At 38.8% G+C, this 17,832-nt stretch overlaps 1 protein-coding gene and 1 long non-coding RNA gene across 5 annotated transcripts in view; one reads left to right on the top strand and one right to left on the bottom strand.

The window, feature by feature from the left end:
* The window catches only part of EIF2AK3 (eukaryotic translation initiation factor 2 alpha kinase 3), a 71,405-nt gene that overhangs the window by 49,628 nt on the left and 3,945 nt on the right, over positions 1-17,832 (top strand). For all 4 annotated transcript variants that reach the window (XM_047446428.1, NM_004836.7, NM_001313915.2 and 1 more), the window contains 4 exons: positions 1,815-1,964; positions 3,072-3,852; positions 7,477-7,644; positions 16,128-16,229. In XM_047446428.1, the coding sequence (XP_047302384.1) occupies positions 1,815-1,964; positions 3,072-3,852; positions 7,477-7,644; positions 16,128-16,229 (1,201 nt within the window). The remainder of the gene's footprint in view (positions 1-1,814; positions 1,965-3,071; positions 3,853-7,476; positions 7,645-16,127; positions 16,230-17,832) is intronic.
* Positions 2,908-17,832, bottom strand: part of EIF2AK3-AS1 (EIF2AK3 antisense RNA 1) — a 36,891-nt gene continuing 21,966 nt past the window's right edge. The window contains exon 3 of the long non-coding RNA NR_110236.1: positions 2,908-4,004. This is a non-coding gene — a long non-coding RNA (EIF2AK3 antisense RNA 1). The remainder of the gene's footprint in view (positions 4,005-17,832) is intronic.

Genomic DNA, 17,832 nt, shown 5'->3' with positions numbered 1-17,832 from the left:
AGAGATGGGGTTTCACTATGTTGGCCAGGCTGGTCTCAAACTCCTGACCTCAGGTGATCCACCTGCTTTGGCCTCCCAAAGTGCTGGGATTACAGGCATGCACCACCACACTCGGCTAATTTTTGTATTTTTAGTAGAGACAGTGTTTCACCGTGTTGGCCAGGCTGGTCTCGAACTCCTGACCTCAAATGATCCACCCGTCTTGCCCTCCCGAAGTGCTGGGATTGCAGGCATGAGCCACTGTGCCTGGCCTCTTGTTGATTCTTGATTAAATGCACACTAATTGTTGTGCTGTCATCATATCTGGTAGTCACAGCTTTTTCAAATTCCTGTCTGGTAGGTACAGGAATTGGATGGTTTGGGTACTAGGGAACTATTTTTTTTCTTTTGGTAAATAACTTTTGAGTAGTTTAAATATTCATATGTGCCAGGCACTACATAAGTGATAAAAACTGAGCAAGGTTTCTGCCCTCAAGAAGCCTGTACCTTTTTGGTGCTTCTGTATGTACACTCAAGTAAATACAATGCAAGAAAGATTTTGACCTTTGCCTTATCTTAGTAAATATTAATAGCTTCTCATGAAGAAGAGCAGATGTGGCCAAAAGGCAGTCAAGGAAGTCAAGCTTCTTAGAAATGGCGGCATTTGCTCTGGGTGCTCAAGAGTAGCCTTTCCCTCAGTAGGAGACAGGTGGGGAGGGATGGCCAAGTGCATGAAATGGCCCGAGCAAAGGCTCTCACAAGCACTTGGAGGTGGTATGGAGAATGGTGAGAGTTCTGGAGTAGATGGAACAAAGGGTAAGAATAGGGGAGGATGGAAGAGAGGAAGAAAAAGATAGGTTGGCCAGGTACAGTGGCTCACGCTTGTAATCCCAGCACTGTGGGAGTCCTAGGCGGGTGGATCATTTGAGGCCAGGAGTTCGAGACCAGCCTGACCAACATGACAAAATCTCATCTCTACTAAAAGGCAGTTGGAGGTTACAGTGAGCTGAGATCGCATCACTGTACTCCAGCGTGGGTGACAGAGTGAGACCCTGTCTCAGGAAAAAAAAAAAAAAAGATAGCTTGTAGCACCTTAAATGCCAAGCAAAGAAGTTGGGATTTTAAAACTTTATTTGTACGTGCAGTAGATGCGCTTGTAGCATTTATTTCCAGAAGAGAAAAACAAACAAAACTGAAATACTTGTATTTTTTAAAATACAGGACTTGTGTGGCCTTTTAGAAGTATACCCTAGGCTAGCCGGGCACGGTGGCTCACACTTGTAATCCCAGCACTTTGGGAGGCCAAGGCAGGTGGATCACCTGAGGTTAGGAGTTCGAGACTAGCCTGACCAACATGGTGAAACCCTGTCTCTACCAAAAACACAAAATTACCTGGGTGTGGTGGTGCGCATCTGTAATCCCAGCTACTCGGGAGGCTGAGGCATGAGAATCACTTGAACCAGGGAGGCGGAGGTTGCAGAGAGCCGAGATTGCGCCACTGCACTCCAGCCTGGGTGACAGAGCAAGACCCTGTCTCAAAAAAAAAAAAAAGTATAACCTAGGCTAACTCATCTGTTTCTAATTTTAGTTTCAAGAAAAGATCCTATTTTATTATTTTTCTGTTTTCACTATTAGATATGAATACTTCAGATATGAACAGCCTTCAGTGTTGTCTTACTTTCTCTCTTTTTCAGGCTAATTTTATTTCTTTAATTTTCCTTTTTTATTGGTATATAATACATCTACATATTTTAGGGGTATAAGTCATATAATTTGTAAAGATCAAATCAGTGTAATTGGAATATCCATCACCTTAAATATTTTCTCTCTTTCAGGGAATTGGCTCGGGAAAAGGTAATGCGAGAAGTTAAAGCCTTAGCCAAGCTTGAACACCCGGGCATTGTTAGATATTTCAATGCCTGGCTCGAAGCACCACCAGAGAAGTGGCAAGAAAAGATGGATGAAATTTGGCTGAAAGATGAAAGGTAACTAACTTTGTTACACATACACTTAAGCTAGTTTTTTGCTTGTGTGATTACAATGTCAGTTTTATAACTTTAGGGATTTTTTTTTTTAAAGAAAAGGAACAGCAGAGTTCTGTTGTTTCATGTTTTGAAAAGTTCTCTAGCCACTTGTGAAATTTTGGTTTAGATTTTGAGAACATACACGGGTGACTCATGCCTGTAATCCCAGCACTTTGGGAGGCCGAGGTGGGAAGATGGCTTGAGCCCAGGAGTTCAAGACCAACCTGAGCAACATAGTGAGACCCTGTCTCTTAGAAAAAATAAGAGAGAACTTACATTTTAAAAAATTACTAGTTGATAGGACTCTATACATTGTGATTGATTGAGGGATTTATAGTGACTTTTCTCAGTATAAGGTATCTGCTTCTGTCTCCATTTTTTAAAAATGTTTGTTATTTAGTTCTCTTAGCAGTTAACAATTTACAGCTCCTTTTTAAGTAGTTTTGAACTATTTGCAGTTAAAAATACATAAACTTAGCCTGAATATATTGTCCATATTAACTATGATGTGCTATAGGAAGGAAGGCCCTTTAAAAACTATTAAAGGAGAAGAAAAAGGAAGCATGTGTAGATAGACTGCCACCAAACAACTGGAGTGAAACTCCTACCTACAGGTATCTAAGCAACATTAGATCCACGTGAGGTACCTTGTTAAAGTGGTGCTTATTATAGACTCAACCAATAACTAAGCCATAGAAGGACCAAGTGAAGTGGCCCCATGTCTCAAGGCCTTGTGAGGCGCTGCCCTTTTAGGTTAATTTTAAGCCACCAAGGAATCCTGTCCTCACTTTGCATAAAAGGCTTTGGCTGCTCTGGCAGCCCCAGACAGTCCCAGGTAACTGTTTCATGTATAAAATTAAGCTTTAAAATTAAGTTTTTTAGAAGGAATGAATGGAATGTGATGTTCTGTATCTCACATTGCATGTTTTTATTTAGTTTGTATGTTGTTTTGTTGTCATTTGGTAAGTGGCCTTATTACAGTTGAAGCTTTTTAAACAGAGGGTGCAGTTCAGGTACTTGAATCAATATATATTCACTCTTACCCCTTTGTATTTCTCCCACTTTTAGCACAGACTGGCCACTCAGCTCTCCTAGCCCAATGGATGCACCATCAGTTAAAATACGCAGAATGGATCCTTTCGCTACAAAAGAACATATTGAAATCATAGCTCCTTCACCACAAAGAAGCAGGTCTTTTTCAGTAGGGATTTCCTGTGACCAGACAAGTTCATCTGAGAGCCAGTTCTCACCACTGGAATTCTCAGGAATGGACCATGAGGACATCAGTGAGTCAGTGGATGCAGCATACAACCTCCAGGACAGTTGCCTTACAGACTGTGATGTGGAAGATGGGACTATGGATGGCAATGATGAGGGGCACTCCTTTGAACTTTGTCCTTCTGAAGCTTCTCCTTATGTAAGGTCAAGGGAGAGAACCTCCTCTTCAATAGTATTTGAAGATTCTGGCTGTGATAATGCTTCCAGTAAAGAAGAGCCGAAAACTAATCGATTGCATATTGGCAACCATTGTGCTAATAAACTAACTGCTTTCAAGCCCACCAGTAGCAAATCTTCTTCTGAAGCTACATTGTCTATTTCTCCTCCAAGACCAACCACTTTAAGTTTAGATCTCACTAAAAACACCACAGAAAAACTCCAGCCCAGTTCACCAAAGGTGTATCTTTACATTCAAATGCAGCTGTGCAGAAAAGAAAACCTCAAAGACTGGATGAATGGACGATGTACCATAGAGGAGAGAGAGAGGAGCGTGTGTCTGCACATCTTCCTGCAGATCGCAGAGGCAGTGGAGTTTCTTCACAGTAAAGGACTGATGCACAGGGACCTCAAGGTCTGTATTTGTGGAGCATCACCCTTGGGGTTTCAATCTGACGTTTTGTGATTCAGAGCAGTACTTGCAGTACTCTGAAGGATCCTTAAGAGTTGGGGAGAGTAAAAGCATCTGAGAGCAGAGGTCTGAGAAAGTAGCCTCGAAGGGGCCTGCTGCAAGAATAAGAAGTCTTATGTCTGAAAACTTTAGGCAAACCATGCATTCATTGTCTTCAGTAATGTGTTTGTGTTCATTTTACTGTAAAAGGTATTCTCAGTAGTCCAGGTGAGGGAAAAAAAAGAAAAAAGAATCTTTAGGTAAAATCCACCATGAGCAGATATAGCCTGTTTTTTTGTTTGTTTGTTTGTTTTTGTTTTTCTATGGTTTTGAGTAACCCTGACACCAATACCTCCAGGGCTCTGAAGCAGCATGGTGAAAGGGATCCGAATGGAAGGAGAGACATGGGTTCCTTCATTAGCCAGCTTGAATTGGGGCAAATCTCCACACTTTTGCTTCTTTTTCTGAACTGTTTAGACTTTGGGGGAAGGGGTAAGAAGCCGAATGGGGAAAGGTAGCAAATAGTTAACAGATGACTGTTTACAGCTCTAAAACCTTGGATTCTATTTTCAATATATTCAGTAGTGAATTTTGCAGTAATATAATATGCAAAATTATTAAAGAGTCTTACTAAAACATGACATTTCCGTAGTAGTGTTTCTAAAAATAAGTACATGGAACTTTTATTTAACTAATTTCCCACATTCCATATACTCTTAGCCATCACCAGTAGATGTGGAGTGAATGTATAAATACTTTTCTGATGAAAGTAGCTTAAAGTCTTGATAGATGTGGATCCATTTTAAGTCTTTTCAGACTTAAAACAGACTTGTTTCAGGCACAAAAGTAGCTATTTGGACACAAGTTATTTTCTTCTAAAATCAGCAGTAGGTTTTCAAATTCTTGGGTATATTTTAAGAGTTTTAGGGTAACAAGAATAGGAATTAGAAATAATTCTTATTTTTTAATATAATTGTTATTTAGTCATATAAATCATTATGCTTCAGTGATTTTGACGTGGGCCCAAACTGATTGCCAAGAATTGTTCTGCACTGAATGAAAAGTTCAGAGATGAATTATTTGGTTGGATTGGAGAAGACAGTTTACAGGAGACCACACACCCCTAATTTGAGAGAATACTAGCAGTTAGGTTTGAATATAGTAAACGCTTATCACTAGGTGGGAAACAGCTAGCTGAAATACACATTCTTCTTGTACTTAACACTTGCTGTACACACAAATGCCAACTTGAAAGACAATGAATCATGTTTTCACTAATAATGAATATTCTTCTGCTAATTTTATAATGTAAATGAGATATTGGTAAATATCCATTTAATGCTACAATGTTGTCTAAAGATTTTTCTGTAATTGTCTATGCACCAGAAAAATTGCAAGAAGAAAGTTAATATTCCTGTTAGTTTTTCTAGAAATCAGAAAGTTTTATTCCTTTCTAAATAGAAGACAATTCCTTTTAAAGATTTCTAGTGCGCCACCCCCAACCAAAAAAAAAAAAAAAGCCAAGATTTTTGTTCCTGGGTGAAAAAGCTGTACATTTTGCTACGTTCTGACCTAAATCTTTGAGCTCAATGTTAAACCTTCTAGGCCCTCTCCCCCTGTTATATTTTGGTCACATTTTTGTCTTCAGGACTTTGGCTCCTGCCTCTTCAGACTAACTTCTAGTCTTCTATTTTCTCCACTCTGAACTTTTCTCAGTTCCTCTTGATATACACTGTTCTGACAGAAACCTGGTCCTTCTTCATTATTCTCATCACACCTGGATTATTTATTCTGTGGTTTCTATGGGGTATGAACCATATCTGTTTCTTTTACCTGTTATAGTCTCAGTACAATGCCTGAATGTTCTAGATGGTCATACCATTTATTTTGAATTTTATTTTCTTTGCACTCAAAAGTGTTTATACTGACTTAACCAGAAAAGGAAATCTGTTGGCCCACATGGCTAAACTGTTGAGAATTCAGGTAAAGCTTTAGCTGAGATCAAGTGATTTAGCCAGAACCTGGTTTCTGTCCTCCCCATTTCTTGTTTCTATTTAAGTCTTTTGGAGTTGGTGGGGTAGAGGGTGGAGAGAAAAGTATTGCTTTTTCCCACTATCAGAAATTTTATTCTACTTAAACCAAGGACACCTACCCATCCCTCAACAATCCCTAGCCAGGCAATGGGATTCCATGGATTGGCGTAAGCAACTTTTAGAGCATGGATGCCTTCCACACTAACCGTGGGGTTTTGCTGCACAGTCAGCAAGAAGGAAGTTCCCAAAGTAAAGTCAAGATACTTCTGCTGGAAGCACAGGGAGATAGATACTGGAGAGCCAAAAAGCTTGTCTATTATAGGGTTCAGTAAATAACAACTGCCATCAGATGTTGGGAGTTGGGAAGAAAGATGACATTTAATGCAGGATAGTCTATTATTGCCTCTGGTACAAAGTTATTTATTGGAGAGCTGCAGATTATTACCATAGATCTTATACACAATAACTTCATGCTTCCAAGTCAAAATCGTTTAATGGTATTTTAGAGTTTGGGAATGCAATGTTATTTTCTGGCAGTATTTGAAACATGATGAAATTCAATTTCATGAGCTAAATGGCTTCCTTTTTCCTCATTTCAAGGGCTATGAATGGTGGTCATATTACCCGCAGAGTAGAGTAGACTCTGAGGGAGAGGTGATGTATTTCATGTAGGGCACCTTGGGTTTGAGAAGCCCATGAGACCTCTGGTTAGATGTATTCAATAAACAGTGTAATATGAGTTTAGAACTCAGGGCAGAGATCTGGGAGTAGATATAGTCTTGAGAACATAGAGGTTTTACGAGAGGCAGCATAGAGTAGTAGTGAAGAGCTCTTATCCCTTCTGATAATCTATATCCCCCTCAGACGCAAACCAAAAGATCAGTCTGTTTCATTCATTCACCAAATAGTAATTAGCTACCATAGAGCAAGAACTGGACTGAAATCTGGGCACGTGGCAGTGGATCACAAGGTCCTTTCCTCATAGAGCCAGACTGCTCAGGTCTGAATCCCTGCTTCACCACTTGCTAGTTGGGTAACCTTGGGCAATTTGTTTAACTTCTGGGCCTCACTTTCTATGTCTGTAAAATGGGGTTAGTACTCATCTAATGGGGTTGTAGTACATGAGTTAGTAGTAGTAAACTGCTTTGAACAGTGCCTAGCACATTGCAAGTTCTATTTATGAACTAGTTATTATTAGTTATAATTATTAAGGCTTTAAGTCATAAGTGTAGAGATGCTTGCCTGGGAAGAATATATAGAATAATAAGATTGAGGATTAAGTACCATGATCCCTAGGGAATGTGCACCTCAAAGGGTTTAAGTAGATGTTCAATAAATACTAGCACTCTTTGCTACCCTTCCCTTTTCTTTACTAGCAGTACTTGTCTGGCACAGAAAAATTGTCACTATTTTCCTGTTAGCCCATTTTAAAAAGAAATATGCTTGAAAATATCTAGTTTGTTGTATTTTTTCTTTGTAGTCTTTTAAATAATTCTCTTTACTTTTTCGCCTCCATGCACACCCACTGTACTTTTGTCTGTTGTATTCTTTCCAGCCATCCAACATATTCTTTACAATGGATGATGTGGTCAAGGTTGGAGACTTTGGGTTAGTGACTGCAATGGACCAGGATGAGGAAGAGCAGACGGTTCTGACCCCAATGCCAGCTTATGCCAGACACACAGGACAAGTAGGGACCAAACTGTATATGAGCCCAGAGCAGGTGAGTTTTTCAGACCTTTACTTACTAGCACAGCAGCAGATGTACCTGATGAATCTCTTCTCATGTTTTCATTAAAATACCCAGTAATCTAAAACCCAGTAAGTCTGAAAATTATGAAAACTGGCAGTAGTGTTCCAGTAGTGGAATAGTGACACAGCTAAGATGTAGTTTCTACAACCTGAATTGGGGCTGGATTAAGAAAAATACAACACATAAAATGCACTCACCCCCTGAACAAGCACCTGACAGCAACCAGGAATTTGGAAAGAGACTTTGAATGCCACCCTCCCAAACTTAACTCGTTTGCCTTGTGTAGACTGTGTTGGAACTGTTTTCAGAGCCAGCTAGACCCAGAGGTACTATACTGAGCTGCCCTTTGTGGTCACTCATAGGCAACTTCCAGCATGTACCACAGTAGGAAATAGAGGCACACAGGCCGGCAGGTGTTGCCTTGTGGGCTGCTTGGCCTTCACAGGAAAAGCACTGTAATCAGGGCAGGGACTGGAAGAGCTGGGGGAGCAGGGCATCCTGGAAGCATCAGGCGAGCATGCTCAGCCACCACCAGGCAAATGATCTTCACAAGCTTCTCTATGCTTAGAGCAGCGGGTCTCGGACGTTTTGGGCTCAGTACATACTTACACTTGTAGAAATAACTGAGAACCCAAAAGGTTTTCTTAACAAAATTTTATCTATCGATATTTGTTATATTAGAAGTTAAAAGAGAAATTTATAAAACTTTATTAAATCAACTAAATAACAATGAAACCTATCACATCTTAAGATATTTTTATGAAAAATAAGTATTTTCTAAAACAAAAAAAAATTACAGGCACCAATTCCCCTGCAAAAAAAAAAAATTAGAGTGACATTTGTTTACATTTTTGCCAGTCTCTTTAAAGCTAACTTATAAAAGTGCTACATTCTTCTATCTGCTTTTGTGTTCAATCTGTTGCAGTATGTTATTTTGGCTGAAGTACATGAGGAAATCTGGCCTCGCACAGATATGTAGTTGGAAAAAAGAGCAATATTTCATTTCAAGTAATTGTAGATATTTTGTCTTTGATAGTATATCAAAACTTAGTAAATGATAGTTTCTTAGAAGTCATTTACACTGTGGAATCTAAAACCATTCATGAATATTTTGTACTCTGGTACTTTTAACATCCCTTGGTCCATTTTGTACTTTGAATGGATCTTTTTACCCATGCTTGACTTTACATTGTGCATTAGTCATTTGGAAACTATTGGTTCCCTAAGTTTGGCAACTATTCCAAAAGTCATCACAGTTCATTATGTAATATAAAAAGTCACTTTGGTTAATACAACCACCAATCTCACCAGAAAAGGCTTTATGTACATATTAGGAGGCTATCAAATTCCCACTGGTAGACTGAAATCTTCCAAAATTTTAATTTTCACTTAAAAGCTCAACTTTTAACATTGGCAACAAATACTGTTAGTTTTCCTTGAAATGCCATTCTCACATTGTTCATCTTTTTTTCTCTTTAAAAAAAAAATGTTGTTTGTTTTTTTTTTTGAGATGGGGTCTTGCTGTGTTACCCAGACTAGTTTTGAACTTCTGGCCGCAAGCCATCCTTGAACCTCAGCCTCCCAAAGTGCTGGGATCACAGGCGTGAGCTACCATGCCCGGTCTCATTGTTCATCTTTAAGAAAGTGTCCCTCGGCCAGTCGCAGTGGCTCACACCTATAATCCCAGCACTTTGGGAGGCCGAGGCAGGCAGATTACCTGAGGCCAGGAGTTCGAGACCAGCATGGCCAACATGGTGAAACCCCGTCTCTTGTAAAAACACAAAAATTAGCTGGGCATAGTAACGCATGCCTGTAGTCCCAGCTACCCAGGAGGCTGAGGCACAAGAATTGCTTGAACTTAGGAGGCAGAGGTTGCAGTGAGCCGAGATTGCACCACTGCACTTCAGCCTGGGTGACAGAGCAAGACTCCATCTCGAAAAAAAAACTCTCTGTCAAGTATCCAAGTCTCAATAACTGTAGTTTGTCTACCAATTATTCTTTCAAGTCAAAATGGTGTTCTATGAAAAGAGCAGCTAGAGCATATTGTAACTCAAATAATTGCACAAATGCTAATGATACTCACAAGCTAATCTATGCTTACATCAGCAGGTCTCAACTTCTTAAAATTAGTTTGTTTTTTAAATTGACTCATAATTGTACATATTTATGGGGTACATACTGTCGTTTTAATACATACACTATTTAGTGATTGGATCAGGGTTATTAGCATATCCAAGGTATCAAACTTGGAGACAACTATTGTACTTTGGTATGGAGCATAAATGTTTTTCTGAATATTTTCCATTTTGTCAGATTATTAAAAAGGTGTATATTTAAAGGTTGAGATTTAATAAATTAATAATTTCTACTGCTAAGGACATTTTAAGTGAAATGTTTTTTGGTTTTGCCTGTGAGCACGTGGTGCTGAAGAATGTAATTGCTACTGGTACAGCTTGGCACTGCTCGCTTGATTCATGCTTAGGTTCTGTCAGTGCAAATGTCAACACAGTGAAAAATTATATCTTAGTATTATTATGAAAATAGTCTTGGCCTTGCAGACCTTTTGAAAGGGTGTTAGGGTCCCGAGGAATCCATGGACCATACTTCAAGAACCACTGGATTTGACTATCTTTGAAAGATTATATCAGAGACCAGTAATAGGAACTGCCTTTGAGGAGGGCAAGTTTGTTTTACTGTCATAGAGCATCCTTTTGAAGTGTTTGCATTGTTTACCTTAGTCAAGTGTTTCTTTTTTGCAATGTGAATTTTTATTTTGTATTTCGTCTTTGAAGGAGATTGCAGTGAGCCAAGATCCTGCCACTGCACTCCAGCCTGGGCAACAGAGCAAGACTCTGTCTCAAAAAAAAGAAAAAAGAAATCAAGCATTTTTACATATTAAGAGTCAAAAAAGTATCTTAAGTGAAAAAAAACAAAATGCAGAAATGTGTACACCTTTTGTGTAAAGGAGGAAAAGATAGATATACATTTGCTTATGTTTACATTAAAAAACTCTGGAATGATGTGTAAGAAACAAATGGCTATGGGGGCAGTGGCAGAGGGGAAGTAACTGGTGGGGCTAGGCCAGTGAGGGACAGAGTGAGAGGGAACTTTTACTGTTAGCTCTTTTTGAGCCATCTGAATGTGTTACCTATTAAAAGTTAATTTGAGATGAGAAATATATAAAAATTGGCAATAGACATCAAACCCAATGAACGATATGTGCCAATGGTTCTTGTGAATATTGATACCAAAATGAGAATAAAATCCAAAATGTATTCCTAGTAAAAGACAAATAATTTTAAGTATGCTTATCATTATAAGCTGAGTTTGTCATTCCTATATTAAATTAACAAAGATTAGGAAATGGACGATGGTAAGAACATGGAAAATAAAGATGGGAATAGGGATTTGTACTTGATGTAGCTAAGTTTGGCAAATAGAATAATAAAACAATATTTCTACCTCTGTATCACTTACAGACGACAAACACAAACTGCAGCAAAGGGAAAGGATATGGAAATACAAGTGATGCTAAAGCCAAATATTAGTTATGACAACAAATAAATAGATGTGTTTAAATATCCCCATGAAAGGGAAACTTCAGGTTGGATTATAATTTAAAAAAAAAAAGGTTAGAAAGGGAAGCTAGGTAAAAAAATACTAAGCTTTATATACAGTTGCTATTTGAAGATTTATTGATGAATAAATTATAATTATATTTACTTTCATTTTGAACTTCTAGGCCACAAAGAAATATCATGGATATTGTAAATGCCTTTTTATGATTATAATATATTAAAAGAAGGGTATAGTGGTGTATAAATTGATTTTTATAATTTTGTCTGTTTTTATTTTTGCTTTTGCTTCTGTTTTGCTGGCTGGAAATTTTATTATTTTTTTGAGACAGGGTCTTTGTCACTCAGGCTGGAGTATAGTCATGTGATCTTGGCTCACTGTAGCCTCTGCCTCCTGGGCTCAAGTGATCCTCCCACCTCAGCCTTCCAAGTAGCTGGGATTACAGGTCCACACCGCCATGCTCAGATAATTTTTTTGTTTTTTGTGGAGATGAGGTGTCACTATGTTGCCAAGGCTGGTCTTGAACTCTTGGGATCAAGCAATCCTCCCGCCTTGGCCTCCCAAAGTGCTAGGATTACAGGCGTGAGCCACTGTGCCTGGCCAACTGGAAATTTTAAAACCCTCCTAAATAACTATCAGGTCAATAGATGATGGGTTGATAAGTGCAGCAAACCACCATGGCACACGTTTACCTGTGTAACAGACCTGCACGTCCTACACATGTACCCCAGAACTTAAAAAAAAAAAGAGTTTTTAAAAATAACTATCAGGTCAATAATGAAGTAAAAATACTCATACAAAGTATTAAGAAAATGATGAAAGAAGCTGGGCACTGTGGCTTGAGCCTATAATCTCAGCTACTCAGGAGGGTGAGGTGAGAGGATCACTTGAGTCCAGGAGTTCCAGGCCAGCCTGGGCAAAATAGACCCCATCTTAAAAGAAAATGTAAAAAACTTTTTTTAAAAATGAAAGAAATGAAAAATAGTGAAATCTATAGGAAGTTTTCAAAGTTCCATTTGGAGATAAATTTATTTTCAGGCCTTCATTACATAGCACATTACTGTATAAGAGATTAGAATTCTGCTCAATAGAAGGCAGGGAGGAGCCAAGAAGATGGAAAACAAACATAAGAATTGATACTGGTGAAACAGTAAAATAGCATCACCATGGTTGTTTCTAATAGTTTAAAATAAAGATAATCCTCTCTAGCATAGATACCTACTTAAGGGGGGAAAATCACAAATAAATTTAGAAATTAGAAGAGATACAGAAGAGATTTTTATTTATAGGAGACTTTCATATATAGTCAATTGGTTGCAACCAAAAGTATCCAAACTGGCTTACGTAGAAAAATAAATAAAATAAATCTATTGGCCCTGGTAATTAAATCATCCTGCTCAAATGATCTGGCCAAGGGGTGGTGAAAGGAAAAATTAAAACTGTATGAAATATCAAAATACTATAAATACATATTTCTATCTATAGGAAAAAAGACTAGAAGAGCCATAAAATATCAACAGTCATTGCTTCTGAGTAGTGGGACTTCAAATGAATTTTAATCTATTTTGGACTTTTCTGTATGATCCAATTTTTCTACATAGTCATACAACAGAATTGATATTAAAAACAGTTTTGGTTGGGCATGGTGGCTCATGCCTGTAATCCCAGCACTTTGGGACAGGTGGATTGCTTGAGCTTCAGAGTTCGAGACCGGCCTGGGCAACATGGCGAAACCCCATCTCTACAAAAAATACAAAAATTAGCTGGGCATGGTGGTGTATGCCTGTGGTCCCAGCTACTTGAGAGACTGAAGTAGAAAGGATCGCTTGAGGCTGGGAGGTGGAGGTTGCAGTGAGCCAAGGTCATGCCACCGTGCTCCAGCCTGGGTGACAGAGTGAAACCCCTTTAAAAAAAAAAAAAAAAAGTTTTTTTGGCCAGGCATGGTGGCTGACACCTGTAATCCCAGCACTTTGGGAAGCCAAAGCAGGCAGATCATCTGAGGTCAGGAGTTCGAGACCAGCCTGGCCATCATGGTGAAACCCCGTCTCTACTGAAAATATAAAAATTACCGGGCATGATGGCAGGCACCTGTAATCCCAGCTACTTGGGAGGCTGAGGCAGGAGAATTGCTTGAACCCAGGAGGGGGAGGTTGCAGTGAGCCGACATCTTGCCATTGCACTCCAGCCTGGGCAACAAGAGTGAAACTCCGTCTCAAAAAAAAAAAAAAACACCTTTTTAATTGTGTTTTTAAAAATTTATTATTATTTAAGAGGCTGGAAATAATACTTTTACATTTTAAATATTGTGAAAACAAATAAAAGGAATTCTATCTGGATGCTTATTAATGAAGGCTCACGACTTGGGAAGCCTCTCTCACCCAGTCCTATTTAAAAGAGATGCTTCTCCCTTCACTCCCTGCCTGGGTCCATCCCATTACACTGGTTTCTTTTTACAGCATTTTTAACTCTTTGAGGTTCTTTTTTCTTTCCCTGTGAAATATAAACTATCAGTATAGGGACTTAGCTTGTCTCTCATTCTACTCTTAACACCTGAAACAACACCTAGAATGTGGCATAGTTTCATAAGTGTTTGGTGGATGAGTGAAGGTGAATGCTAGTGAAAAGATGAACACCAGGTAGTCCCGGCCACCCCATACACACTTCTGTGCTGACTGTAGTGTGGCTTGTGGCTGCTGTGTGTGTGTGTGTGTGTGTCTTGGAAATGGGTTGCCATTTGAGAAAGGAAGAGGTTGATGACAACTGAAGCTATATTTCGTATTGTTGAAAATACTAGAAAATTAGGATAGCTGTAGAAATTTTATGGCAATGTATAGTGGTTAAAATTTGGTAGTTAAAAATGGACAGTCTTAATTATCTTCTTAATCCTCTTTAAACATAGAAACTGTCACTTTATAAAGTGCTCCTTAAAAAGTCACACAAAATATTTGGGCTGTATGAATTGTACAATCTTACCCAAGCCTTAGAAGCTATACTAAAACATTGTTTTAAAATTATTTATTATTAGAACTCTCTTAATTTTCTCATCCTTGAAATAAATGAGCAGGACCCATGGTTACTTTGTTCTTGGTTGTAATTACGAAGAAACACAGGTTAAGTTCTAGATTTGCACACAGCGATTAAACAATTCAAAGGATATATTCTAGGTCCTAATTCCTTATTTTTTAGATATTTTGTAAATATAACTTTTCATGCGTTCATGAGGCTACATTTCTTTTTTTAAATATGTTTAATCACGTTAGAAACAATAAATAAATTTAGTAACACATTATATATCTATCTGTCCTCTAGGGAATACAGAAAGTATAGGGACATATAACAAAAAAGTAAAAATCACTTACCAAAAATATCTGTAAGACATTAACAGCAGTTATTTCCTTTTCTCTCTCTGTGTGTGTGTATATCTATATACACCTTACTTTAGAAAATAAAATTGGAATTCTACTCTAACATTTTGGATACAATATTAAAATATAAGTATTTCCCATATTATTAAATATTCTTAGAAAAGATTTCCAGCTGCATAGTATTCAACATTCATTTGGGACATTTTAATTACTTGTAAATTTTGCTATTAGGAATATCACTTGGGTAACTATCCCTGTACCCAAATACCCAAATGTCTGTACACATTTCCATCTGCCCTAGGGTGGGTAAAATTAGATGGCATCATTAAGCAGGAGTAAACATTTATTGCCAAGTTGCTTCTTATAAATTTGTGTTTATTTATATTCTCCAAATAGTGTGTGAGGGTGTCCTTTTCAGTTCCCCTATAAGATTTGTTTTTGCACATTTTTTTTAACACTTCCAAAACCCCAGGGATAAGAAGTGAGACAGGGTTCAGATTGCTACAGTCTCTTGGAAGGGAAGAGGGTGATGCCACTGATGTGGTCACTGAAGCTTTCCATCTGCTCTTCTATAAGTACAGAGGCAGGCAGGCTGCGCAGAAGGCCAGGGAGACAGATGCCAAGTACGGTTTAGAGGGGAAGTTGTGAAGGGATCATAAACCCTGGCAACTGCCCTGTGACCACCTCTACTTCCCAGTTAAGAAGTACTGGTATGGAGCATTTCCAAAGTTCCCTTCTTTGGCAGTTTCTCAAATGTCATGTTATATCTCTAAAGAAATTTTCACAAATAAAGGGGTTCTTCTGAGTCACCAAAAGGTCAATTTTAATTTAAATAATGCTTTCTTTAGTCGAGTAGTTCTGTTGTAATTCATTTGTTCATTTTAACAACTAAGTATTTATTGAGGGCCTTCTCTATACTTAGCCCCAGTGCTGGACGATAGCAACACAAAAGAAGCATTTCCCTTCCTCCAGGACTTGATAATCTAGTTGTGAAGAATAAGAAATATACACATGAAAAATACAACCAAGAATGCAAAGTATCCGTAATTAAGTGCCCTAATGAAGGCTAACTACAGTTGATTAGTGGTTTGGAGTAATGAAGATTTTCTCATAAAAATGGGTTAGGACTAAGATGATTAGAAATGAAAGATTTGCTTTAGATAGCGTTCCCTTTGAAAAACCTCACCTCAGGGGTAGTCGAGCAGATTTTGCTGGCTCCCACAAACTTTTTTAGCATGGCAAGTCTCCAGGTTTCCGAGGGGCCTGTTTTACTGATGCATATCTCAGAGCTATACCTGGGCTTTCCTTCTGTAATGCTGAGTAGTTTAATTACTCTTGGTGTAGTAGTGAAGAAAAGAGACTTGGGAGATTAACTCTTTGCTAACATTTTTACACATGTACTTGCATTTAAACCAAGAAGTGACTAAGTAAACTTTGGGATTCAATAATGCTGTAATATCAACTGTACTGTCTCTGTGTTAATTTTTAAATTTTCTTTATGTGGGATTTCAGATTCATGGAAACAGCTATTCTCATAAAGTGGACATCTTTTCTTTAGGCCTGATTCTATTTGAATTGCTGTATCCATTCAGCACTCAGATGGAGAGAGTCAGGGTAAGTACCCTCCCTACTCAAAAAAAAAGTTTCAAACAGAAAATAATCTAACATTTACAAAAGAGTTTTTTAAAGACTTAGTTCTTCTTAATACCAGCAGATTGGTTAACTAAAAGTGAAAGAGGTGATGTGAGTAACACAGAGAGGAGTTCTAGACTATTTGCTTCCATTTAAAGCTCAGTCTTCAAAAACTTGTTTGGTTAGATTGTTTGTTCTTAGTTTTTGCTTAAATTCATCATAATTTAACAATGTTTTGCACTCAGTAAGTTTGTTATAAGTAAAAATCTAGGGGAACCACAAGGTAATGGGGGCCACACACTCATATATTTAAAAGCTGGCAGATTAAGCATAATTAGGTTTCTTTCCTCTCAAAATAAACCATGACCACAGCCTTTAAAGCAGATAGTACTGAAAGTCTTTTTTTTTTCTCAAGGCAAGGTCTTGCTCTGTCGCTCAGGCTGGAGTGCAGTGGTGTGATCACAGCTCGCTGCAGCCTCAACCTCCTGGGCTCAAGCCATCCTCCCATCTCAGTCTCCCCAGTAGCTGGGACCACAGGCACGTGCCACTATGCCTGGCTAATTTTATTTTATTCATTTTGTAGAAATGGGCTCTGCCTATGTTGTCTAGGCTGGTCTCAAACTCCTGGGCTCAAGTGATCCTCCTGCCTTGGCCTCCCAAAGTGCTGGGATTATAGGGATGACTGAAAGTCATTTTAAAGTAGCCCTCTGGGCCGGGTGCAGTGGCTCACGCCTGTAATCCCAGCAGTTTGGGAGGCTGAGGCAGGTGGATCATGAGGTCAAGAGATCAAGATCATCCTGGCTAACACGGTAAAACCCCATCTCTGCTAAAAATACAAAAAATTAGCCGGGCATGGTGGCACGTGCCTGTAGTCCCAGCTACTCTGGAGGCTGAGGCAGGAGAATGGTGTGAACCCGGGAGGCGGAGCTTGCATTGAGCAGAGATCGCGCCACTGCACTCCAGCCTGGGTGACAGAGTGAGACTCTGTCTCGAAAAAAAAAAAAAAAGTAGCCCTCTGGCCAGGCATGGTGGCTCACACCTCTAATCCCAACACTTTGGGAGGCTCAAGCAGGAAGATCACTTGAGGCCAGAGTTCAACACCAGCCTGGGCAACATAGTAAGACCCCATCTCTACAAAAAATTTAAAAATTAGCAAGGCATGGTAGCACATGCCTTGAGAGGCTAAGGCAGGAAGATCACTATGATTGTGCCACTGCACTCCAGCCTGGGCGACACAGCAAGACCCTGTCTCTGAAAATAAAGTGGGCCTCTGTCACATTCTTCCCTATCTTTCATAAGTAGCTACCCTCACCTCTTCTAGTTGTTGTCCCTGGTACTTATCTCCATATTTTCAAAGTTTAGGCTCTTGTCACTATTTCTTATTTTATCAGTTTTAGATCTTACTTATTGATCTCTGGCCATGGTAGAAGAGGATGTAGTTCTCACATAGAGCAAAATGACTCATATCTTCTAACCGAAAGGACCTACCAAATGTTCTGTACAATGAATGAAAAAAAAAAAAAAACAGTCAAAATAACCATTTTCAGAACACCAGAAATAAAGGCCCTAAAAGCTTCCAGAAAGG

The sequence above is a fragment of the Homo sapiens genome, chromosome 2 (assembly GCF_000001405.40).
Source record: "Homo sapiens chromosome 2, GRCh38.p14 Primary Assembly".
In the NCBI taxonomy this organism is placed as follows: Eukaryota; Metazoa; Chordata; class Mammalia; order Primates; family Hominidae; genus Homo; species Homo sapiens.
The sequence above is the reverse complement of the archived record's forward strand: the minus strand, read 5'-3'. Positions and strand labels throughout refer to the sequence as shown.